The 25,472-nt window shown below is 35.6% G+C and overlaps 1 protein-coding gene across 9 annotated transcripts in view; it reads left to right on the forward strand.

The window, feature by feature from the left end:
* Positions 1-25,472, forward strand: part of COL4A5 (collagen type IV alpha 5 chain) — a 257,708-nt gene that overhangs the window by 107,592 nt on the left and 124,644 nt on the right. For all 9 annotated transcript variants that reach the window (XM_047441810.1, NM_033380.3, NM_000495.5 and 6 more), the window contains 6 exons: positions 11,635-11,724; positions 16,453-16,497; positions 21,200-21,244; positions 21,330-21,392; positions 23,984-24,037; positions 24,382-24,408. In XM_047441810.1, the coding sequence (XP_047297766.1) occupies positions 21,333-21,392; positions 23,984-24,037; positions 24,382-24,408 (141 nt within the window). In that variant the 5' untranslated portion in view covers positions 11,635-11,724; positions 16,453-16,497; positions 21,200-21,244; positions 21,330-21,332. The remainder of the gene's footprint in view (positions 1-11,634; positions 11,725-16,452; positions 16,498-21,199; positions 21,245-21,329; positions 21,393-23,983; positions 24,038-24,381; positions 24,409-25,472) is intronic.

A 25,472-nucleotide genomic window follows, 5' to 3' on the forward strand; every position in this document is an offset into this window, starting at 1 on the left:
GGTGAACAGCAAATGTTACTGCCTGATCGTTCCTCTGGAAGTTTCATCTCAGAGGGGTACCCGGCCGTGTGAGGTGTCAGTCTGCCCCTACTGGGGGTTGCGTCCCAGTTAGGCTACTCAGGGGTCAGGGACCCACTTGAGGAGGCAGTCTGTCCGTTCTCAGATCTCAAGCTCCATGCTGGGAGAACCGCTAATCTCTTCCAAGCTGTCAGATAGGGACATGTAAGTCTGCAGAGGTTTCTGCTGCCTTTTGTTCAGCTATGCCCTGCCCCCAGAGGTGGAGTCTACAGAGGCAGGCAGGCCTCTTTGAGGTGCGGTGGGCTCCACCCAGTTTGAGCTTCCAGGCTGCTTTGTTTACCTACTCAGGCCTCAGCAATGGCAGACGCCCCTCCCCCAGCCTTGCTGCCACCTTGCAGTTCGATCTCAGACTGCTGTGCTAGCAATGAGCGAGGCTCCGTGGGTTTAGGACCCTCCGAGCCAGGCACGGGATATAATCTCCTGGTGTACCATGTGCTAAGACCATCAGAAAAGTGCAGTATTAGGGTGGGAGTGACCCGATTTTCCAGGTGCCGTTTGTCCCCTCTTCCCTTGGCTAGGAAAGGGAATTCCCTGACCCCTTGCACTTCCCGGGTGAGGCGATGCCTCACCCTGCTTTGGCTCACGCTCGGTGCGCTGCACCCATTGTCCTGCACCCACTGTCTGACAATCCCCAGTGAGGTGAACCTGGCACCTCAGTTGGAAATGCAGAAATTACCTGTCTTCTGCATCGCTCACGCTGGGAGCTGTAGACTGGGGCTGTTCCTATTCAGCCATCTTGGAACCACCCATTTTGGAAACTGTATTTTAAAAAGGAAAATTTATATTTGAAAAGCAGAATATAAGAAAAAACAATTGACCTTATGGGCTTAACAATAGAATGGAGATGTCAGAAGAAATAGTCAGTAATCTTAAAGATAAATCAGAAGAAACAACTGAATCTGAAGAGCACTGAAGAGAAAATGAAAAAAAGAAAAAACAGAATAGGACCCCAGTGACCTCTGTGACAGTGTCAAATGGTCTAATACAAATATAAATGGAGTCCTCTAAGGACAGGAGAGAAAGAACAGGGAAGCAAAAAGAAGAATAAATTATGGGGCACTAAGAATGGCAAGAATTCTCCACACTTGGTGAAAAGTATAAATTTACAGATATAAGAAGTCCAGCAAACCTCAAGCAAAGTAAAAACGAAGAAAACTATACCTAGGCCCATCATAATGAAACTACTGAAAAAATAGAGATTGAAAGAAAATCTTGAAAAAAGCTAGAGAAAAATTTACACCGTGTATAGTGGAACAATTATACGAATGATGACAGACTTCTCATCAAAAAGATTGGATAATGTACAGCAATGTGAAAACATCGTTAGAGAGCTAAAAAAAAATTTGCAAGCACAATTATTATATACAGTTAAAATATACTTCAAAAATAAAGGCAGATTTAAGACATTTTCTCATAATAAAAATAGGGAATTATTCATGAAGAGGCTTGCATTAAAATAAATATAAAGAAATTTCTTCAGGCTAAGGGGAAATCTCACTAGATGGATGTGTGAATTTATAGGAAGGAATGGAAAGTAATAGAAATGGTGTAAATGCGGGTAAATATAAGAGGATTATATCTCTTTTCCTCTATTTATTTAACAGAAAGCACTGTTTCAAGTGTAACAACAGAGATTCAAAATACATGAAGCCAAAACTGAGAGAATTAAAGGGAGAAATAGACAAATCCACAATCATGGTTGTGATTCTAACACTCCTATTTCAGTTGTTCCACTCTTAACAACTTAGGCTTTATTGACATAAAAAGAGCCCAACATCAAACAACTACAGAATATAATTTTTTTCAAGAGCCAAGGAATTTTCACCAGTGTAGACTATGTGATAGGTCACAAAATGAGACCCTCTAAATACCAAAAGATTAAAAATATCAGTATATTCTCTTATTACAATGGAATGAGTAAGAAATAAATAATAATATTTGTAGAAAATTCCTACTATTTGGAATTTAGAAAGCACTGTTCTAAATAACTGCTGGACCAAGGAATAAATCAAGGAAAATTAGAAAATGATTTTAGTTACATATTGTTGAAAACTGAAAATTTTGGAATGGGGTTAAAGCAGGGCATAGGTGGGAAATAGATTTAAATGTCTATGTTAGAAAAGAAGAAAGATTTAACATTGGTGACCTATGTTTCTCACTTTAGAAGCTAGAAAAGGACAAGCAAATTAAATTTAAGAGAATGAAGGAAATAATAAAGACAAAAGTAACAATATATTAACTACAAAAAAAATAGAAAACACAGTCAAAATTTGGTAATTGATAGCACAAAAGATGATAAGAAAATAGAAAACACAAATTACCCATATCAGGAATGTTCCTACAGCCATTAAAAGATCAATAAGGGACTATCATAAATCACTTTGTAACAATAAATTTGACAGCTTAGGTGAAATGGACAAATTCCTTAAGAAACATACATTACCAAAAACAAAAACAAATAAATGCGTGAGTGAAAGAAAGAAGCAAAATATAAATTAGCCCTATATATACTAAGGAAGTTGAATTATCAACCCTTCCAACTTAGAATTCCTGTTCCAGAAGAGTTTACTGATGAATTCTATGAAACATTTTTGCAAGTGACAGTGTCAATCTTGCATAAATTTATTCAGAAAATAGAGGGATATTGAATGCCCTCCAATTAATTTTGTGAAGCAAGCAAAGCCCTGATACCAAAACCAAGCAACGACAAAATTACAGAAACAGAAAACGACAGACTAGTATCCCTCATGAGCATAGATACAGAAATTATTAAAATTTTAGCAAATCAAATCCAACAACATATAAAGTGGATGATTGGTTGTGACCAAGTGGGATCTATGCCAGGAATCCATGTTTGGTTTAACATTTGAAAATCAAAAATTGTGACTCACTATATTAAAGACCAAAACAAAATTTAGAGCATAAATATATAAACCCCCAATAATTATCTTAATCGATAACAAAGAATGCATTTAATGACATTCAATATCCATTTCTAATAAAAATTACTCTTAGTAAACTAGGAGTAGAAGAGATTTCCTCAACCTTAAAGGGCATATGCCAAATCCCTAAAGCTAAAATTGTACTCAATGGAGAAAGACTGAGTTCCTTTCTCCTAACTTCAGGAACATCTGCTCTCACCATTTCTATTCAACATTGCCAGTACAGTAAGACAAGAAAAAGAAAAGAAAAAGTATCCGTATTGAAAAGGAAGAAATAATTTTTTTTGTTTTTTTGATGATGACATGATTTTTCAATGTAGAAAATGTTATGACATATGCTAAAATACTCTTAAAACTTATAAGTGAGTTTAGAAAGATCACAGAATAAACAAAACCAACAAACTAAGATCAGTAAATAAAAATCGGTTGTATGAGCAATGGGGAAATAATTCCCTGTTCAATAAATGGTGCTGTGATAACTGACTAGCCATATGTAGAAGAATGAAATCAGACCCCTGCCTTTCACCATATACAAAAATTAACTCAAGATGGATTAAAGACTTACGTGTAAGACCTCAAACTATAAAAATCCTAGAAGAAAACATAGGAAATACCATTCTAGACATTGGCCTTGGGAAATAATTTATGACTAAGTTCCCAAAAGCAATTTCAACAAAAACAAAAATTGACAAGTGTGACCTAATTAAACTAAAGAGCTTCTGTATAGCAAAAGAAACTATCAACAGAGTAAACCAGCAGCCTACAGAATGTGCAAAAATATTTGCAAACTATGCATCCAACAAAGATCTAATATCCAGAATCTATAAGGAACTTAAACAATTCAGCAAGAAAATAAATAAATAAATAAATAACCCCATTCAAAAATGGGCAAAGGACATGAACACATACGCCTCAAAAGAAGACATACATATGGGCAACAAATATGTGAAAAAATTCTCAATGTCACTAATCATCAGAGAAATGCAAATTAAAGTCATAATGAGATACCATTGTCTCCGTTAAAATGGCTATTATTAAAAAGTTAGAATGGCTATTATTAAAAAGTTAAAAACAGATGTTGGTGAGGTTGCAGAGAAAAGAGAATTCTTACACATTGTTGGTGTAAATTTAAATTAGTTCACCCACTGTAGAAATCAGTTTGGAGATTCTTTAATCAGTTCAGCCACTGTAGAAAGCAGTTTGGAGATTTTTTAAAGAACTTAAAACAGAATTCCCATTCAACCCAGCAATCTCAGTACTAGGTGTATACGCAAAGTAAAAGCAATCATTCTACTGAAGAGACACGTGCACTCATATGTTCATCACAGCACTATTCACAATAGCAAAGATGGAATCAACCTAGATGCCCATCAGTGGTGGACTAAAGAAAATGTGCTACATATACACCATGAAATACTATGCAGCCATAAAAAAGAATGAAATCATGTCCTTTGCAGCAGCATGGATGCAACTGGAAGCCATTATCCTTAGCTAATTAACACAGGAACAGAAAACCAAATACCACATGTTCTCACTAATAAGTGGGAGCTAAATATTGAGTACACATGGAAATAAATATGGCAGCAATAGACACTGGGGACTACTAGTGGGGGAAGATGTTGGGGAGACTGTTGAAAAACTGCCTATCAGTACGACACTCACTACCTGGGTGATGGGATCCTTTGTACTCCAAACCTCAGTGACATGCAATTTACCCATGTAACAAACCTGCACCTGTACCCCCGAACCTAAAAGTAGGTAAAAAAAAAATGTTATACAAATGGAATCATAAAGTATGTAACTTTTTAAGACTGACTTTTGTCACTCTGCATAATTCCTTTGAGAAGCATCCAAGTTGCTGCATGTATCAATAGTTATTTCCTTTTTATTGCTTAGTATTCCATGGTATGGATCCACCAAAGTTTGTTTAACCATTCACCCATTAAAAGACATCTGCTTTTGTTTTTCTTTTCCAATTTGGGAATATTATGAATAAAGTTGTTATGAACATTTGAAAAAAAATCAGTCATATGTCCATAATCTAACAATGAAAAGTAGTAAATTGGAATTATAATAGTGCCATTTAAAATAACAACAAAAATTTGAGATACTTAGGAATAAATCAGACAAAAATGTGCAAGTCTCATACCCTGAAAACTACAAAAAATATTGCGGTGAGAAATAAAAGAAGACCTGAATAAATGGAGATATATATCATATTCATGAATTGGAAGACTCAATATTGTTAAGTTGACAATTGGCCCCAATTTATCTATAGATTCAGTGCAACTCCAATCAAAATTCTTGTGGTTTTCTGGGGCTACAAATTTAACAAGCTGATCCTAAGAGTTAGATGGAAATACAAATACAGCTTTTATAAAAAACAATGTTGGAGGATTTACAGTACACAATTCCAAGACTTAGTATAAAACCACAGTAAACAAGATAGTGTGCTATTAGCCAAATGATAGACATATAGATGAATGGGACATAATAGAGACTCACAGGTAAATAGTGAATCTGTTTTTTGACAAAAATGCAAAGGTAGTGGAGAAAGTCTTTTCAATAAATAGTCCTGGAAGGGTTGCATATGCGTATGCACAAAAATGGCTCACACTTTATATAAAAGTTAACTCAAAATGCATCATAGACCTAGATGTAAAATCTAAACCTTAAAGTCTTTAAGGAGGAAACAAAGGGGAAAATCCTTGTGACTTTGGGTTAGGCAGATATTTCCTAGATCTGATATCAAAAACACGATCCACCAAAGAAAATACTGTTAAGTTGTATTTCCTCAAAAGTAATAACTTGTTCTCCTCTAAAAGTATTGTTAAAAGAATAAAAAGATAATCCACAGTGCAGGAAAAATAATATTTGCAAATTACATATCTGATAGAAGACTTGTATCCAGAATATATAAAGAACTCTAAAAATTTAATAATAAAACATACAGCTCCACATAAAATTTAATTATAAACAAATTGGAAGAATATTTTGACACTTAAATAAAAGCAGATATATAGATGGCAAATAGATACACGAAAAGATCCTCAACATTATTAATTAGGGAAATGCAAGAGAAAACCACAATGAGATGCCACCATAAACCTGTTAGAATATCTAATAAAAACTTTTAGCCAAAGCAAGTATAGATGAGAATGTGGAAGCAACTGGAACAATTATAGATTATTGGTATAAGTGGAAAATGATCTACACAGTTTGGCAATTTCATAAAATGTTAAACACCTATTAAATGACCCTGTTGATTCCTAGGCATTTACCCATGAGACATCAAAGCGTATGCCTATAAAAACTTGTACTTGAAAATTCATAGTAGCTTTATTTGTAATAGCCAGAAACTGGAAACAACTCAACTTCCCATCAACAGGTAAATGAATCAACACATTGCAGTATACCTCTACAATGGAATACTACTCAACAATAAAAAGTAATGAACTATTGATATTCACCATAACAAGTTTGAATCTCTAAGTAATTATGCTGACTGAAAAGTTAGACAAAAAGAGTACATTCTTTATAATTCCATTTATATAAAATTCTAGAAAATGCAAATTAATCTACAGTGACAGAAAGCAGATCTCTAATAGCCTGGGGTGGGTAGGAGTAGGGAGATGGATATAGGCATAAGGAAGATATGGGCACAAAGAAGCTTTTGTAATGGATTGGCTATGCTCATTATTTTGATTGTGGTGATGATTTCTGTATTAGTCCATCTTTGCACTGCTATAAAGAAATACTCAAGACTGGGTAATTTATAAACAATGGAAGTTTAATTGACTCACAGCTCCGCATGGCTGTGCGACCTCAGGAAACTTACAGTCATGGCAGAAGGCTTAGGGGAAGCGGGCACCTTCTTCACAAGGCAGCGGGAAAGAGAAGAGTGAGGAGCAAAGAGGGAAGAGCCCCTTATAAAACCATCAGATCTTGTGAGAACCCACTCACTATCAGGAGAACAGTGTGGGGGAAACTGGCCCCATGATCCAGTCATCTCACACCAGGTTCCTCCCTCAACACTTGGGGATTATGTGGTATACAACTCGAGATGAGATTTGGGTGAGGACCCAGAGCCAAATCCGTTTCACTGGTGTATATATGTGTCAAAACTTTTGGCCAGGCATGGTGGCTCACAACTGTAATCCCAGCACTTTGAGAGGCTGAGGCAGGTGGATCGCTTGAGCCCAGGAGTTTGATATCAACCTGGGCAACATGGTGAAACCCTGTCTCTACAAAAAATATAAAAATTGGCTGGGCATGGTGGCACACACTTGTAGTTCCAGCTACTCAGGGAGGCTGAGCTGGCAGGATCACCTGAGCCCAGGAGGTATAGGCTGCAGTGAGCTGTGTTTGTGCCACAGCACTCCAGCCTGTGCAACAAGGTGAGATCCTGTCTCAAATAACCACCCCCCAAAACAAACAAAAAACCCCAAACTTTTAAAATAGTATACTCTACGCATGTATGATTTATTCTATGTTAATTATACTTCAGTAAAACTGCTTTTAAAACATATGTTTTTAACATAGAAATAAAACATCTAGATTTCCCTAAAAGAAATGTGTCCAAGTGCATATTAATAAACAAAGAAAACTTGCTAGACCCCTGATGAGATCAAGTTAACCAGTTGACAATGTAAAATCTGTGACACAATCAAACATTAACTAAACAAAGTGTGCCTCTGTCAGTGGCATCAGCATTTACTGGGCGCTGGTTAGAAATGCTAAATCTCAAGCTTTGCAGCTGACCTACTCAATCTAACTCTGGTGTCAGGGCCAGGTAATGTGTGTTTTAATAAGGTCTCCAAGTGGTTCTAATGCAAGCTAAAGTTTTATATCTGACTTAGAGTATCTCCATTTTGACAGTCGCCAAAGGTCTATTTTCTTGTTCTACCAATTGTAATACATCAAATATTTCTAGTTCTACATAACTACAAAAACAAAATAGGTATTATGCAAAAAAGAGAACCGAATTGCCTATAATTGCATTACCTAATTAAATTATCATTTTCATTTATTCATTAAGGGTCTTGCCTTCTCCACATGTTTATATAAATATGTTCATATAATGTCTGCATTTTTACAATATTATAATCTGAAGTAATTTTAATCTCAATTATTATTACAGCAGTTTGTCCTATTTTGTATTTTTCCTATCCTCAGAATTCTAATATTTTCCTGTTTAATTTTTCTTCCTTGAGAAACTATTCTTAAAATGCTTTTTTATTTTAAAGTGGCATGATTATACAACTGTCTTATTGTCATTATAAAGTGCGCTTCCTGAAGATGGTAACACTTTTATGGATGCCTTTAACTCACAAACTAGTCTACTTCTCAGTACATTAGATTTTTATTCTTCTTAATAAATGATATATAAACCACTAAAAGTTATCCTTTGTATAATTTCCCCTAGCCCTAAATCTTACATGTTTTTAACTTTTGACAAAAGTGTATGCCATATATTTTATTTAATCCATTAAGGAAGTTTATTCATTGAATGAGAATTTACTGAGTATTTGTTCTGTTGGGCACTAAGAATACAAAGTTGAAGAAGATATAATTGATTAATGAAGTAGTAATTCGAGGGGAGTTAAAGTTATTACAAATTTCTGGCTGGGGTAGTTGGGTTGTGCTATTTCCTGGAATGGAGAAGACAGTAGAACATGAATTCAGTGTTGTTTATATCAAGTTTGTTCTTAGGAAAATTACAAAATTTTTCCTTGTCCTGATTCTTCATATATAAAATGGAAATAATAATGTCTACCTCATATTATCATTGAGAGTATTAAATAAGATAAAACATGGAAAGAGTTTAGAGTAATTATTTGGTATATAGAAAACACTAAATACATGTTAGCTATTATTATTGTCATTGAGTTTTAGGTGCCTGTATGCATTCAAGTGAAGATGTTTCAGACAGTTGCCTATGAGAGCCTAGTTTTTTAGTAAAAAGAGTTGATATTTTAGATTCCCGGGTAAAGAGAGAGAAGATCAAAAAAGGAATCCAGTGTAATACCAGTATTTAAAGGATAGGCAGAGAGAGAGAAATATTATTGCACAAAGGAAAATACGAATGATATTTTTATGCAAATATGGGCAGGCAGCATAAACCGGTTTTTTTTAAGTTTGACCTTTAGAAATAGCCATTTTCTGTTTGTGAGTGTTAGCAAATTACAGGAAAATCTACAGTAGTTGTAAGGATTAAACGAGTGCCTAACAACAGGCAGCAAAGAGTAGGCAACAACAAACGTCAACCTTCCCTACCATATGTATTAGGAATTAGGTGGAGGATCCCATCCCCACCACATCCTCGCTCAAGGCTTCTATAATTTCTACTTAGTAACCTTAGTACCTTTCAAAGGCTGTGGTATTGATCTTTGAATTCCTTTTGCTACTGTCTGGTAGTTGCCCTTCTCTCTTCTTTACTATAATATTGCTCACTCTGCTAGATAGGACCATGATATTATTTGACTGTAGTGCAAGGAGATTTCAGGATATATCATTTATAGGTATATGGTTTTATTAATATCAACAAAATTAAGCTTTTTAGCACCTCCACTTAAAATTTTTAGCTTATTCCTCTCTTATCTGTAGGCGAGATAGCAGTTTTGCTTCTGAGAAAATATGGCTTTCTTCAAGTATTATCCTCCAGTTTTGGCAGAGATATGCTGTAAATACCAGCTGAGATCCCAAAATGTACCTGTTTTCCCCTCATGAAAATCTACTGTAACTAGATTTTTTTTCCTTTGTGCTTTCTTTCTGACTGAAACTTGTGATCAGATTTCTACTACTAGCTCTGCCAGTAATAATTTGAGGGAATCTAGCTCTAAAAATTTTAAAACTTTTAATTTCTTCCTCTTGTTTTATTTCCTCAAAAACAATTGTGTTGAGGTTGATGAATACTAAATTATCATAATTTAAACACTAATTAAAACAACAAGGGGATATATGTCTAGAAAATAAGAAGTGTAGTAATATGTCAGTAATAATTATTGTCAAAACTACAGGAATGTTGCCATCTATCATTAATTGACTAAAATTAGCTTCATTAACTTTGAAATGAAAAGTGGAAACTGACCAGTAGTCTTTTCAAAGTACTTATATTTATTATAGGATGTTTGTTGAATTATTCAGCATAAAATCATCTAAGCTTTTTAGACTAAACTTAGTACTTACAAAACACACACACACACACACTTTCAGAGTAGAAATAAAAGTGTGCTGTACCTTAACCTCTAGAGATATGTGTCTTCAATGGCCCCTTAGTCAGCCACCTAGTAGATATGGATGCTTTCTCTTTCTCACGTGCTGTCCAGGCTGTCACTGTGGGTAGGATCTGTTAAGAGGGTTCCCAGAATGAGGTCTGACCAGAGGCAGCCTTCGAGCCTTAGAAAAGTGGAGGAACTACTTGTAACCCTGTAGTTGGGAGCACGTGCCATGAAGCTGTCCTTCGGGGTTCTTTTATATATATATATATTTTGTACTTTAAGTTCTAGGGTACATGTGCACAACTGCAGGTTTGTTACATATGTATACATGTGCCATGTTGGTGTGCTGCACCCATTAACTCATCATTTACATTAGGTATATCTCCTAATGCTATCCCTCCCCCCTCCCCCCACCCCACAACAGGCCCCGGTGTGTGATGTTCCCCTTCCTGTGTCCAAGTGTTCTCATTGTTCAATTCCCACCTATGAGTGAGAACATGCGGTGTTTGGTTTTTTAAAGTTGGAAACCATCATTCTGAGCCTTCGGGGTTCTTAAACTTCATAGTGATGAATTATCTTTGTGTAACTGGATCCCCTAGTTTTGGAGTTTACACCCTTACTAGGATTGGCTATATGCAGATTAACTAACCCTAATATGTTAATCCAAATAGCATTAGTACACATGCTGGCTCTGCTTCCCCACCTTTCTGACTGTACAGATATTCACATCAGGCAACCCTACTGTAAAGGTGCTGATAAGATATGATGGGTCCTCACTGGTAGATAGGCAGTCTTCCTGTCCTGGTGATGATAAAGGCTGCGGTTAGAACTGAGACCTGAGTCACAATTCAAGTAATTATTCTGAGTAAAGGAATTAATGGTGGTATTTTCTTTATACTTTTGTTTTCTACATTGAATATGTATTCATTTTTAGTATTAATTTTACAATTAGAAAAAGTAATAAAAGTTTTGATGTTTTGAAGGTTTTTTTCTGGTTAATTTCAAGTCTGGGAGCTTCTCTGATGGTTTCCTTTTACCCTTCCCTGCTCCATACTTATTTAATGTAACCCTTACAGATCTGGTTTCCTGGATTTATTGCTATCTTCCCTATTAAACTCTTGATGTCAGTATGTTTAAATCTCATTTCATCTCTGATATGCTTTTTACTTTTACAAGAAAGAAAGAGATTACCACATATGATATAACTTCCAGACGGTTTGTGTTTTCTCCCCCCACATCTTAACAGGTTTTCCCATGTTAGTAGATACTGTGAATTTACATAATTAAATTAAGTTAGTTTTGTCTAGATAGTCATGTGATCTTTTTGAATCTCAACCATGCCTGTGCTTGAAAATTCACAAATGACCTTACCTTTCATTCTCATTTAATTGCAGGGAGAGAGAGGGTTTCCAGGTTTGGAAGGACACCCAGGATTGCCTGGATTTCCAGGTCCAGAAGGGCCTCCGGGGCCTCGGGGACAAAAGGTATGTATCATGTTGCCAACCAGTAATGCCAGATGAATTAAGTCATCTTAAATGTGGGACTAGGTGTCACATCAACTAAAAAGTTACTGAATTATAGCAAGAAACTAATATGTAAATGAAACAATGGAATGACGGGGAGTCTGTACTTTATTGTATTTTGTTAAAAAACTAAATATTACTGCCATATTCAGATGCTTTTGGAAGATGCTGTTGATTGTTTGTAGTTATTGGCTGCCTTCACAAAAATTAAGTTCTGTCAAGAGCTTAGCTGAGCTGGAGAGAGCTGAATTACCAGTTGTTAGAGTAGCTGATTAAGAGAAGAAGCCAAAATGAAAGTAACAGTCAAACCTTTACTCACTTACTGCAATATTATAAGCAGAAAGTTAAACTGGAGAAAGTGCTGACTCCCCCACTGTTCTATTTGTCCCCATGGTGCAGCATCAGCAAAGGTCAGATGGATCAGCACAGATGTTGGAAATCATTTGACTGCTGAGGGAGCTCAGAACGAAAAGCTCCTGCAGTTGTATGGACCCAGGGGCAGGGTGGGAGAAGGAGAAGAGCTAGGATGGAAACGTACTGAATCAGAGTGCAGAAAAAGTATTTTTATGGTTTCTTTCTCCTCTCATAAGAAGGTCTCCACCAAAAGAGGCCTTTAAATGCAGAAATGCAGTTGAGCACAGCCAGCCATGGTAGCCTGAATCTTTGACTGATACTTCAGAGATTGCAGTGCATTAGCTGTGCACCAAGTTTGCTGTGTGGAGGGTAGCTGTCCCTTATGAGGCCTACCAAGAGGACTTTGGTTGGACCCGAACAGTCATAGGTGTTTAGACAAGAGCCATATTCTCAATTCCATACCTTGATTTTTCAGGACCTGAGTGAGAAACATAAGCTGCCCCATCATGGACCTGAATGGGTTGGACTTTAAAGGGCTCTGTCAAAAAACAGGATAATATCTGAGGCCACAGTAGATTATGGTCATGATCAATCATGTTCTAAGCAGGATGAACAGGCCTGCTTGGAGAACTGAATGTAAGCATGAGCCCCAGCTATTGCCAAGCCAGTAATAGATGTCCCATAGCCCACTTGATCTACGTTAGAGAGCCAGGAGGCTTTTTTCTTAAGTCTTATGATGGATTGTTCTACTTTGCCAGTTTTCATTGATCTAGGTGCAATATGAGGTGCTGGCAATTCCAGAGACCCCTCACAGTTGGCCAGCAGGCAGCTAAGGGCTATATGGTTAGCTAACACTATGTGGGCCAAGGAGTTGAGGCTAGTCTGTTTTGTTTCCAAAGCTGAAGTAATGTCATTAATGACCTCAGCAAGGGTCAAAGACAGGTTGCGGACAACCTTTTCTAATTGAGCGATGCTCACAGTGAGAAAAGTTGTCTGGAGTATTCCCATGAGTAGACAGTAGGTAATGCCAGCTGGCAATTCTCCTGAATAACCGGAGTCTATCTAGTTTTGGAGTTCTCATTTTGTTTTATGTAATGTTATATGCTTAATGGGAGGGACTGTTTTGAATATTTGAGTATCTCTTATCAATGTCCTATTATGTATGTTACATTGGTAGGAATGTTGAAAGCCTGATTTTTATAAAAGAAATAATACCCCAAGAAGAGTGCACACAGTTCTGGGAATGTAAGAGTCATTGGTTACCATGGAGATCAACCAGCCAGAAGTCCCTCCTGGTGAGCAGAGTACTTGAGTGGAATTGAAAAATTTGTGTAAGGTGGAGGCAGAAATAGAGAAATAAATTGCCACCACCATCGAGGCCAAAATGGCTCCAATGGCAGATCATATGTCCCTTTTCCCAGATAATTCAATTGCTTCCATATGGGACAGGAGTGAGCTGACATCCCAGGAGGTATTTTCTTCCTGTGGTATCAGAGTCAATTGTTGCAATCTGTCAGATCCAGTGTAATAAAGTTAGGGTACATGAAGTACTAAAATGGTCCATGTTTAGAGAAACGTCCATTCGTAATATTCAGCAGCACAGCAATCAGATGTTTATCTGCAGGGTTCAGCGATAGGTGACATATCCATTAGTTTGTCAAAATCAGAATCTTGTGAACTACCCGGGACAGGCAATCAATGAATTTAGTAAGGTGGAAGTCACAAGGTTAGTCTGTAGGAGAAAGGGAAGAGAGGTTAGATCCCTACCTTCCAGCCCCATGGATCAGCCCCATGGATCAGCTCATGGATCTGGAGGTAGTCTCAACCTATCAGTTGTGGGGACTCTGTCTTTTGACTGCCATGTGGGCAGTCTGTCCTATACCATGAGCAAGAATAGCATCTCAATGTGCATATTAAGATATAGAATTGGAAGAGATAATAGTGAACTTAAGACTCAGAGAATTTTCTGGGTTTTTTTTTTTAATGACTCTTTTGGCTTAGTGCCTTTTTCCATCTGTATTAGGTAGACTGATGAATTGATATATGAAAGGGCTACTTCTCCTCATTTGCCTGGAAAGGAAAACTGGCTTAAAACCCTTTTTCTTAATTTTATTATTTTATATGATGGTGGTACATCATGTTGTTACAATATTAAGGAAATCAAATGGATACTCACCAGGTAGTCTTCCAGTAAAGGGAGAAAATTAATTTAAATGCATGAATATTTTTTAACACTTAACTATAATCAGAGCTTAGATTTGGGGAGAATGTTGGTCATGATCTCTGGGAAAATAGGATTACATCAGGTAGTTTTGTTAGATTCAAGAGCAGAAGGGACCTGTGCTAAATTTCCCAAGTAGAACTTTAGTACTTAGAAAACAGCAGGACCCTGAATGTGTGCATACAATTTTGGTGGATGAACTACTCAGCTGAATTTCCTGTGTCTAATGGCACATCAAGAGCAAGAGCAACAGAATGATTCTTGTGCACCCAGGAGTAGCACAGAAGTATCAGAGATATCTGAAAGAGTCAAGTGGATGGAATTGAGCAGTAACTTGGCAGCAATCTATGCATACTATTGGCATGGAACAACTCAATGAATACCAGCTTGGACTACACTGTCACACTCCTCAACATATTGGAGCTAGTTAAGTTCTCCAAAACTTAGACACGATCTTGTGAAAATGAGGTGGCAACTCCAATGGACTGAGATTAAACTTCAGCCATGTTATAGAAATAGGTGTTTTGGAAGAGAAATTAAGTTAAGCTACAGGAAAAGTTACATTTCTTGTATCTGAGTTTACTTGGGATTAGGGACTGAGTTTCTTGCACCCCATGCTTGCTGAGAGATGGTAGTTTTAATAAAGATTTGTATTAAATTAAAATAAGTTACCTAAATTAGAATTCCTTTGAAATAATTTAGTATTAACTAGGACTATTCTACAATAACATGATCATTTATAAAGGTGTGCTTGTATGCAGGTTAAGTTTAGAAAGCAGTCCAATCTTTTTTTGTGATTTCATTTCAGTTATCTAAAAAGAGAGAAGGTAAACTGCTTTCTAAACTTTCAGGATTCTGAATTTGAAGCATTGTGTACTTCTGCATCCAGTATGACTCCATGTTTCCCCAAATGGCTGAATTTATACCTTTTATGTGATTGGGTATTCTGGTACATGTGTATGTTAACATATATACTAAGTCAAAAAACTTGTAGGAGTATTCTTTAATATGCACACTCGCAATTTTCCAAAGGTTTTTTATTCTAAAAAATCAAATTTAGTTAATTTTGATAGGCAGTACGTTCATGTCACTCAAGTTAAGAGGGTATACAATGAAAGATCTCCTTCTCACCTGTGTCCATTAGTCCCTGAGTTACCCACACACACTTTAACCACCTTTGTTTGTAAAATAGTAGCACATTAAACACACTGTTTGACCTTTGTTTTTAATTTAATATACATTGTAGACATCCTATTATCAATATATACAGAACCTCCTCATTTTGTATAACTGCATTGTATTTCATTGTATATATGAACCATAACTTAGCATTGTATGTATAAACCATAAATTATTAAGCCAGTCCCCTATTGATGATTATTTAGGTAGGTTTCAATTTTTTGCTATTAAAAGTTCCTTTTTCTTGGAGCAGAATTAGGTTTTTTAATTCTATTTTTTTAAAGAAAATAGTTAACGAAAACTCAGTGAGGTAAGACTAAATTCTCAGCAATGCGGTTGTGACTAGAAATGGGTACATATGTTAACATACACACATGGGTAGGTTCTTTTGCATGGAACTGACAGCTAGGAAGGAAAGTTTATGGTTCTTTTTAAATCGTTCTTACGCTCTGCCAATACAAAGTGCATTATAAAACAAAGCAGAGGTTTGAAAACAGCAAATTCAAGAACAGCACATATTTAGGCTCAGAGATGATGCTCATTATACCAGCATGGCAAGCAGATTAACATAATATGGGAACTGCCCAGATTTTCAGCTCCTATTTTGTTTACGAATAAATTATTTGGGGAATGACTATATCAATATTTTATCTTTGTTTTCTTGTATGATTCATAATTAACTGTACAGGTATAGAGTTTGATTCATATGTCAGCGATTTCCTTCTCAGGAAATAAAGGCCTTTCTTATTTTGGGTCATACAATTTACCTCAGTGCTTTCAGTCTCAATAATAAATGCTTCTTCCTTGGGTGTATAAGTTTTTCACTAACTTTCACAGATGTTTACAGTAGTTTAAATCTCCTATTTTATAATTGAAAATGAGTTATTTGAGGACTTTTTTGACGGACAAAAACCTAAAAATATTGCATTTTTCAGGGTGATGATGGAATTCCAGGGCCACCAGGACCAAAAGGAATCAGAGTAAGTAGTATTTTCTCTATATCAAATACTTTGTTGGTGGAAACAGATAGAGAACAAATGAAGTATTATGAGACAATTGGAAAAGACCCATATTAAAAGCCAAGAAGATAAATACAGTCTTCAAAAAGTTAAATTTAAGAGTTGGTATATGTCTATAACTAGCACTTCTTTAGTATTTTGATAGCTATTACATATATTTTTATATATATGTCTATTTAATATAAAAGGATTTTAAAGTAGCTTATGGTTGAGAATTATGAAAGTCCTAAATTCTAAAGTTTGTCATTTAATTAAAAATCTATATCATATAGTTGGTTTAAACCAGAACTTCCTAACCAGTGTGATTATCTCAGCCTAGGTCCAGAAGGCTGGTTACCTCAGGCTGTGTATCCTCCTAGTGTACCATGTATAAACATTATCATTTTTTTGTGTATCTAGAAGAGAATAAGTTTAGTTTAAACCACTGTATTAAAGAATAACTATTTTTGGAATACTGCATTTCTTCAAATCTAACGTGCATGACTTTTCAAGTCTTGAGGCTCTGAAAAATAAGGATGCATCTCAAAATTGAAATGTACATTTAGTATAATTTTTTCTCAAAAGCTTTTAAGTTGACATATGTCTTACAGTGTATTTTACAACTGAGAGGAAACTGTAGTTTAAAAAATAGTACTGGCTTTTAAAAAATCACATTTAGCTTTCTGACCCTCAGTTTCTTCATTTGTTAACTTAAGAGAGCTAAAGAGAACAATCTCCAAGGTCCCTTTTAGCTCTGAAATACTGTGTTCATAGATTGATGAAGCTCTCTAATTTGAAAATAAAATATATAGTTGGTGACATAGCATGTTTACGTGTGTGACAAAGATAACCATTTGATCATCAGAAATTTAGTAGATGCATAATTTTACAAACATTAAAAACATTCTGTTTGCTATATACTTCTTAACATCATGTAGCTTGCCTTATGTGCATCTTGTGACTGATACGGATAGGGTACTGGAGAAGCAGGGAAGAAACTTAAAACCCTTAGTTTATTTCAGCAGACATAATTCTTTATTTTTCTGTTAAAAATTGATATCAATATACTATTAAAGCTCTTTATAATAATAAAAATAATTTTTAATATCCCTATAGTTAACATTAACTATATTCTATATTCTAAGCACTATTGAGACTAAAAAGAATTGGCTATTTTCTCAGTTTCCATTGCAGGTGTTTGAGATTGCTTGGATACTCCATGTCCCTCAACTAGAACTCCAAGAGTGCTTGGGAATAGGTGGCCTGATAGTTTCTGCATCCTCAGGTGTCAGCTCACAGGCAATTCTTGACACGCAGAATTTTGAAGACATTATTGTGGAAACTGATAAATGTATACAAATGTACAGAGCATATAGTATAATGAACCCCCATGAACCCATCACCCAGCTTCAAAAATGAACAACATTTTGATAGTTTTGTTTAACATATACCTTACCACTTTATTTTTTGAAGTATTTTAAAGTAAATCCCTCACATCATTCATTCTACCAATGAAAACTTCAGCATGTCCCTCTAACAACCACGTAACAACTAAACCATCATCATACCTTTAAACATTAGGAATAGTTTTTCAGTACTCTGACGTTCAGTCCACATTGAGTTTTCCTCAGTTGTCTGAAAGATGTCCTTTTACAATGGTTTATTCAATTTACAACCCAAGCAAGTTCCACGTATTGCTTTGGGTTGCTGTTTATTAAGCTTGTTTTACTATGCCATCAGAAAAACTGGGTCATTGTACTGCATTCCACATTCTGAATTTGGCTGATTTGTTTCCTCATGATGTCATTTAAATTGTTCCTCTGTCCCCCATATTTCTTGCAAATTTCACGTTGCCTTGGAAGAGGCACTAAAGAACTTTCTGGGGGTACAGAACTGTACGCTTAAGATTAGTATATTTTGCTGTGCATAAATCATACTGCAATAACATTAAAGAAAATAGGAAAAAGTATACTTTATAGGTAGTGTTGTGAACTTAACTATTGAATAACATTATGCAGCATGAATATCAGGCTATTCTTCTTTTTTTTTTTTTTTTTTGATGTTAGGTTTGATCAGTAGTCTCAGATAACATTAGCCTGATTCTGCCATCAAAAATTTCCCTGTCAACTTTGACTAATGATTTGGCACCCATGGATGGTCATTATTTTGCTCAGACTTGCAAGATGCTGATTTTTAAAATTCTATTAATCATTCATTTATTAGCTGGAATTCTAATAGGACAATGAGTTGCTACACCAGAAACTTCAAGTGGTCATCAAGGAAAATTCTTCAACTTTTTTTTTTTTTCATTATATGCACATGGAATTTGTGTGTTTCAATCAATTTTAGTCATTTTTTTGAAGGCCAATTTGTCCCATCTTTTGCCTGTGAAAGCCTTTTAAAGTTGACTCCTGTCCTGTGCTCTTTTCAGAAAACTCCATTGATCTTTCATAACTTCTCCCTTTTTGACACAACAAGCTCTTTCATGCTCATCCTTGGCATTTCCCCTTTAGATCTGAAATGGGACATATCTCTGATTCCAGGTTCTTTTTAGTGAAAAATGTGATTTAGATACCACAGCCTGAATGTTAGGGTTTTTTTTTTTTCTTTCTTTCTTTTTTGGAGACGGAGTCTCGCTCTGTCGCCCAGGCTGGAGAGCAGTGGCGCGATCTTGGCTCACTGCAAGCTCCGCCTCCCGGGTTCACGCCATTCTCCTGCCTCAGCCTCCCGAGTAGCTGGGGCTACAGGCGTCCACCACAACGCCCGGCTAATTTTTTGTGATTTTTATTAGAGACGGGGTTTCACTGTGTTAACCATGATGGTCTGGATCTCCTGACCTCGTGATCCACCCGCCTCGGCCTCCCAAAGTGAGCGGTTTTTATTGCTACTCGATTTGTCACTGTTTCAATGTCTTCTCAGTGGAAATATGTATTTTTAAGAGAAAAATTAACATGAGTTCATATTATTGCTTCCAATTGCAATTTAAAATTAAGAAAGGTTTTGTATACTTATTATCTCTTCCCCTCATCTCTCTCTCTATTGAGGTGAAAATGTTCATTCCTAATATCATAAATGTAATTTCTTATTTGCTTTTTCCTACAATATGCCTATTTCCTACAATATGCTTTAAAATAACAATGTATAACTTAACAAAATAAAAATTTAAATTTTAATAGTGATGATAGGATAATAGGATTCTTGAAAACCATTAATTATTTCTTTGTTGAGTTTTCCCCCTTTGAATTGACCAGTTTTGCTAAAGAATTAGAGTTAAGATACCATGTTTGATGAAAGGCACTTGAAGTAATTCTTTTCTCTGTATGGTTTTGTCAACAACTTGAAACAGACGTACACTGGATCCAATTTATTTTTCATTTTTAATGATTTCCTTTTTACCTTTTTTAAAATTTTAAATTATTTAAAACATCTACGTGGTTTTATAAGACAAGGTGTAGTCAGAGATGCTTCTCTTTCATTCTTGCCATTTCCCTAGTGTTTTAATCTTCCTCTGAGAGGTAATCATTAGTTTTTACATAGTAATCATAGTTTTACATTATGTGAATGTGCCATAATTTATTTAGTCATGTTCCTATTGGTGGTCATTTGAGTTGTGTATTAGTCTGTTCTCACACTGCTTATAAAGACATACCCAAGACTAGGTAATTTATAAAGGAAAGAGGTTTAATGGAGTCACAGTTCCACATGGCTCCGGAGGCCTCACAATCATGGCAGAAGATGAAGGAAGAGCAAAGGGACATCATACATGGCAGCAGACAAGAGAAAATGAGAGCCAAGCGAAAGGGGAAACACCTTATAAAACCATCAGATTTCGTGAGACTTACTATCACAAGAACAGTATGGGGGAAACCACCCCCATGATTCAATTATCTCCCACCGGGTCCCTCCCACAACACGTGGGAATTATGGGAGCTACAATTCAAGATAAGATTTGGGTGAGGACACAGCAAAACCATATCAAGTTGTTTCTAATTTTAACTATAACTGGTTACATGGTTGTTTCTAAACTTTAGCTATAATAATGCTGCAATTGTTAACTTTGTTTCTCATATTTTGTTTCATAATTTCTAGGGTATCTTCAGGACAGATTCTTAGAAGTGAAATGCTAGGTCAAAGGGCAAATGCATGGGTAATTTTGCTAGATATTTTCAAATTTCTCTCCATAGAGTTTGAATCTTCATTAGCAGTATATGAGAATACTTTTTCACCATAGTCTCACCTACAGAGAATATTGTCAAACTTGTATTTTTGCCAATCATGACAGAGAAATTTAAGAATTTTGGGGGTGATCACTATTAATGTCTTCAGTGGAAATATATTTGCCACTCCCCCATCCCCTGCTGAATTAATTTTTCATCACAAACCTGGGAGATCCTTATCCATTAGAAGAGACATTTCATCCACGAATTTGCCTGCTCCTAATAAGTGCAATGAAGACAATGCTCCCTCAAATTGAAGTTTCTTTTATAGTTTTCAATAAAAGAGACTTTTAAACACATGTAAGAGATTTTTCTCTAATGTTTCAAAGAACAATGAGTAGTAATAAATAGTGAGACACAATTTTTCCAAATCTATTCTAAAATAATTTTCATAATATCCTTAGGTAGGATATTATTTTATTTTTATGGGTTGTCATTTAGTTTAAGGATTTTATTTCTTCTTATAGGGTCCTCCTGGACTTCCTGGATTTCCAGGGACACCAGGTCTTCCTGTAAGTAGCATTTCACTTTTTACTTTGAAATCTCTTGAAAAGTAATCTAAGACATATTATACATGTGTTATGTCGCTTTTCAAAGGGAATGCCAGGCCACGATGGGGCCCCAGGACCTCAAGGTATTCCCGGATGCAATGGAACCAAGGTGAGATCCATCCATTTAATCTTGGGTAGTATACTTGACAATAATTAACTTAAAAACCTAAAGAAATCAATATGAAGAATGTAGAAGAAGGGATATAGTGTCTTCAGGTCTTGGCTATTACATAAAGTATGCTCTGACTATAATTTTCTATATATTGAACTATCAATAATTTCATTAAACATGTATAATTAGCTGGGATATTGCATTGGGTTAAAGATTACTTACCAAACCCTTTTTTGACTTTAGCATAAAGTAGGATGAGAATTAAAACGAAATTAGGATATATATGTTTCAAATATTATATCAATTGTTGAAAGTAATACTTCTGAATGTCATTCATTTGCTTTGCCATTATTAAAAAACTAGGTACAATTTATGTTTTCAAATATTTCATGTTTTTAAGATTTTTTAACACGCCGAATAACTTCCTTAAGAAAAATCTTAAAAAATTATATGTAATACAGCACATCCGTTTTTACTATAAACTGTCAGTATGAAACCTGAAACTTCTTCATCAGCAAAGATGATACATTTAACAATTTTAAATAACCCTAACTTTAGATATAGCAAACATTTTTTTTTCTGATCCAATGTTTCTTCTCTTTAGTCAACTGTTGGATTGAATATAAAGTAATAGATAATAAGAAAAAATGAGGAAAATTTGCTCTGCTTGTAAGCTTACAATATTATAGCCAATTCTTATTCCCTCCCCTTTCTCCTTTTCCTTTAGGTTAATGCAATATATTGTTATTCTCTGTATTTTCTTTTGGTATTTTCTGTTTTTCACATAATATTCTGTAAAACTATTCATAAAATACCTTAGGTCCTTCTTTCTTTCTTTCTTTGTTTTTGTTTGTTTTTTGTTTTTTGTTTTTTGAGACAGAGTCTTGCTCTGTTGCCCATGCTGGAGTGCAATGTCACGATCTCGGCTCACTGCAACCTCTGCCTCCCGGGTTCAAGTGATTCTCCTGCCTCAGCCTCCTGAGCAGCTGGGATTACAGGCACGCACCACAATGCCCAGCTAATTGTTTTGTATTTTTAGTAGAGATGGGGTTTCACCATGTTGGTCAGGCTGGTCTCGAATTCCTGACCTCTTGATCCGCCTGCCTCAGCCTCTCAAAGTGCTGGGATTACAGGTGCGAGCCACCGCGCCCGGCCAGATCTTTCTAACTAATGGCATATGTCAGATTTTATATAGGGCATATTTTTAAAATAACTTGAACAACTATTTTGCATTACAGTGGCCATATTTTGTGATAATTACTGTACTCTATACTTGAGGCAGTACAGTTCTTTTCATCTCCAGTATTTCTTCAGGTCAATGTAACCCTTGTCAATAATAATAATTTTTAAAAAAAATTTTGGATTCATGAGGACTAATCGTGTTCTTCATTTTAGCTAGGGCAACCTTAAAGTGATAAGACCAATGTGGAGTTGGTTTGCCTGATACATTTCATGTTAAATTGGACTAAATTTTTGTGCCTCTTCTGGTTATTTGTTTATTTTTATTTACTTATTTATTTTTGCCAGTGTGCTTTAAGAAACAAACAGACCACTAACCAAAGTTTCAAATTTGAAGGGCCAATGTATCTATAATCAGTACAGTGTGCTATATGATTAAAGGGAGCATTGATTAACTTGTGTTTCAGGCTTCCAATTATGTGAGTAACAAATTTTAAACAAATTAAATTGATTTATTATGCATATTTTTAAAGTCTGAATGCTTTTCTTATATTTCTTACTATGTAAGTAAAAGAATGAACTTTAAAGTTGGAGCCACAATGTATAGGTTTTTTTCTTTTTCTGTCTTTTAAACTTGATGTCTAGGCCACTTCCTTTCTCTCGGGACCTACTTTTTCCATGTGTAACAAGGTGGAGAGAAGGGTATTGGACTCACAAAGACACACAACAGTAGTAATTTTATTCTTTCAAACCTTCTGATGAAGTTGTTTCTAGGATTACCGTGGCATACAGGTATTTGAAAGGAGGTTGCTTTGGTGTTCTTCTACAGCAATTTCAGCTTTTGTTTTCTAAACCAAGTGTCCATATTAGTACTTTACAGTAGTGAGTGAGAAAAGCTGGGTGCCTAGAAAACATAATGACCTGCAATTGCTAGAACTATTGCTATTATTGTCCTCTTGGTGATATTAATGGCCTTCTTTCTTACCATCTTTTCCCCTTTACAAAAATAATTTGAAATAGTTTACAATAAAAGAAAAATGCAACAGAGCAGTTAAAATAAGAATCTATATAACACATGGGCAGGAAATGGGGCAGATCATTAACTATTAAATGTGATGATAGAATTTATGGCGTGATCGTCTCAAAATGTCTTTGTTGGAAGAAAAGAACTGAGGTAGATAATTTTTTTTCTTTACTTCTAATTGGGATAGATGAATTGGGATAAAAGTTGAATTGATATGGATAGTTGATATTGAAGTAATTGGAAAGTGAAGGCTAATGAACTTTTTGGCAATCTGGCATGTTTCAAAATGGCTTTTATAGAAATCTTTTCAAGAAGTCATATCTTGATGGTATAGTTATTCTTTGTTTCTTGTTCCTCCATGCTCTTTATTTTTAACTCCTTCTAGGGAGAACGTGGATTTCCAGGCAGTCCCGGTTTTCCTGGTTTACAGGGTCCTCCAGTAAGTTATAAAATTTGGGATTATGATGAACACAGGAATTAACAAAAGAAGCAGAAATGTAGTGAGAGAGCCCAATGCATTCATGTGGAACAAAGTAATACATTTTAAAGTAATAAACTAGAGGAAAATGTTTCAAAAAGAAGTTGGTAATATAGCTTTCTCCTGGGCAAAAGCAAGGATTTTGTATGTATATAAATGTCACCTCTAAGTATCCTAAGGTATATCCTATTCAGAAATGACGCTACAGCAGTCTACTCATTTTATACTCTATTTAGAAAGCATTCTGTAATTGGCGTGTTTCTCTCTCATACATATAAAATAATCCCTTTTCTTTTTAATAATAGGGACCCCCTGGGATCCCAGGTATGAAGGTAAGCATCTCATTCTGGGGAACAAATGTTTTGAATAAAATATTAGGAAAGCTGGCAACTTCAATAGGATAATGACTCAAACTTCTGTCTTAAAATCGATGTTTCTAGAAGTTGTGCAGGTGTAAACTTACAAGCTCTCCTTAAGTAGTCTCCTGTGTTCCCATGGCTTTAAGTACCTTGTATGTGCTGATACACTTGAAAATGTGTATATCAGACTTGAGTTTCTTTGCTGACACTTTAAGTCTTCATCTTCTTACACTTTGATACAGTTAACCACTTACTCTCTGTAGAATTACTTTTTTCCCTGGCCTCTGTGACACTATCCTTTCCTGATTTTTCTTCTACACCTCTGGTTAATTTGCAGTCTTCTATGTAAGGTCATTATTTTATGTCCATCAAGCATCAGGTCACAGTCTGTACTCCTTCCCTGCAATGCCCAGAAATATTACTAATGCCCATATTATTGATTACTATCTAGTTACTAAATACCAAATGAGACTTTTCTTCTGAGTTAGCTATGTGTATTCATCAGCCTCTCTGACATCTCCACATGTTCCAAGTTAATCCACCCACAAAATAAACCCGCTCCTCCCTGTGGCTCCTCATATCTCAAATTTGCATCTTTATATGTTATGTACACTTTTACACGATCTCAAAACCTGGGAGTTAATATTTATATCTTCCATTCCTTCACCCACCACCTCATTCAATTCCATCACTAAACACTAAGTGTGCCTGTAAAAGGCACCTTAAATTCATCCACTTTTCTTCATTCCCACTGTTACCACGTTAATCATAATGTCTCATCTGGATTACTGCAATAACCTCTTACGTAGTCTCTAGTCTCTTTTTTTCACCACTACTCCGCCCTTACCTCCCATCCTGTTTTATTCTTTACAAAGCAACCAAGAATGACATTTTAAAAGTGTTCATTGATAATTTAATATGCTTATAAACCTTCAAGGGCTTTCTACTGTGTATCTAAGGTAAAGTCCATAGTTTGTTTGTAAGAACTGCATGCTCTGGTCCTTGCCTACATTGACAGCCTTATCTTAAACCACTAA

This window comes from Homo sapiens, chromosome X (assembly GCF_000001405.40).
Source record: "Homo sapiens chromosome X, GRCh38.p14 Primary Assembly".
NCBI classification, from domain to species: domain Eukaryota; kingdom Metazoa; phylum Chordata; class Mammalia; order Primates; family Hominidae; genus Homo; species Homo sapiens.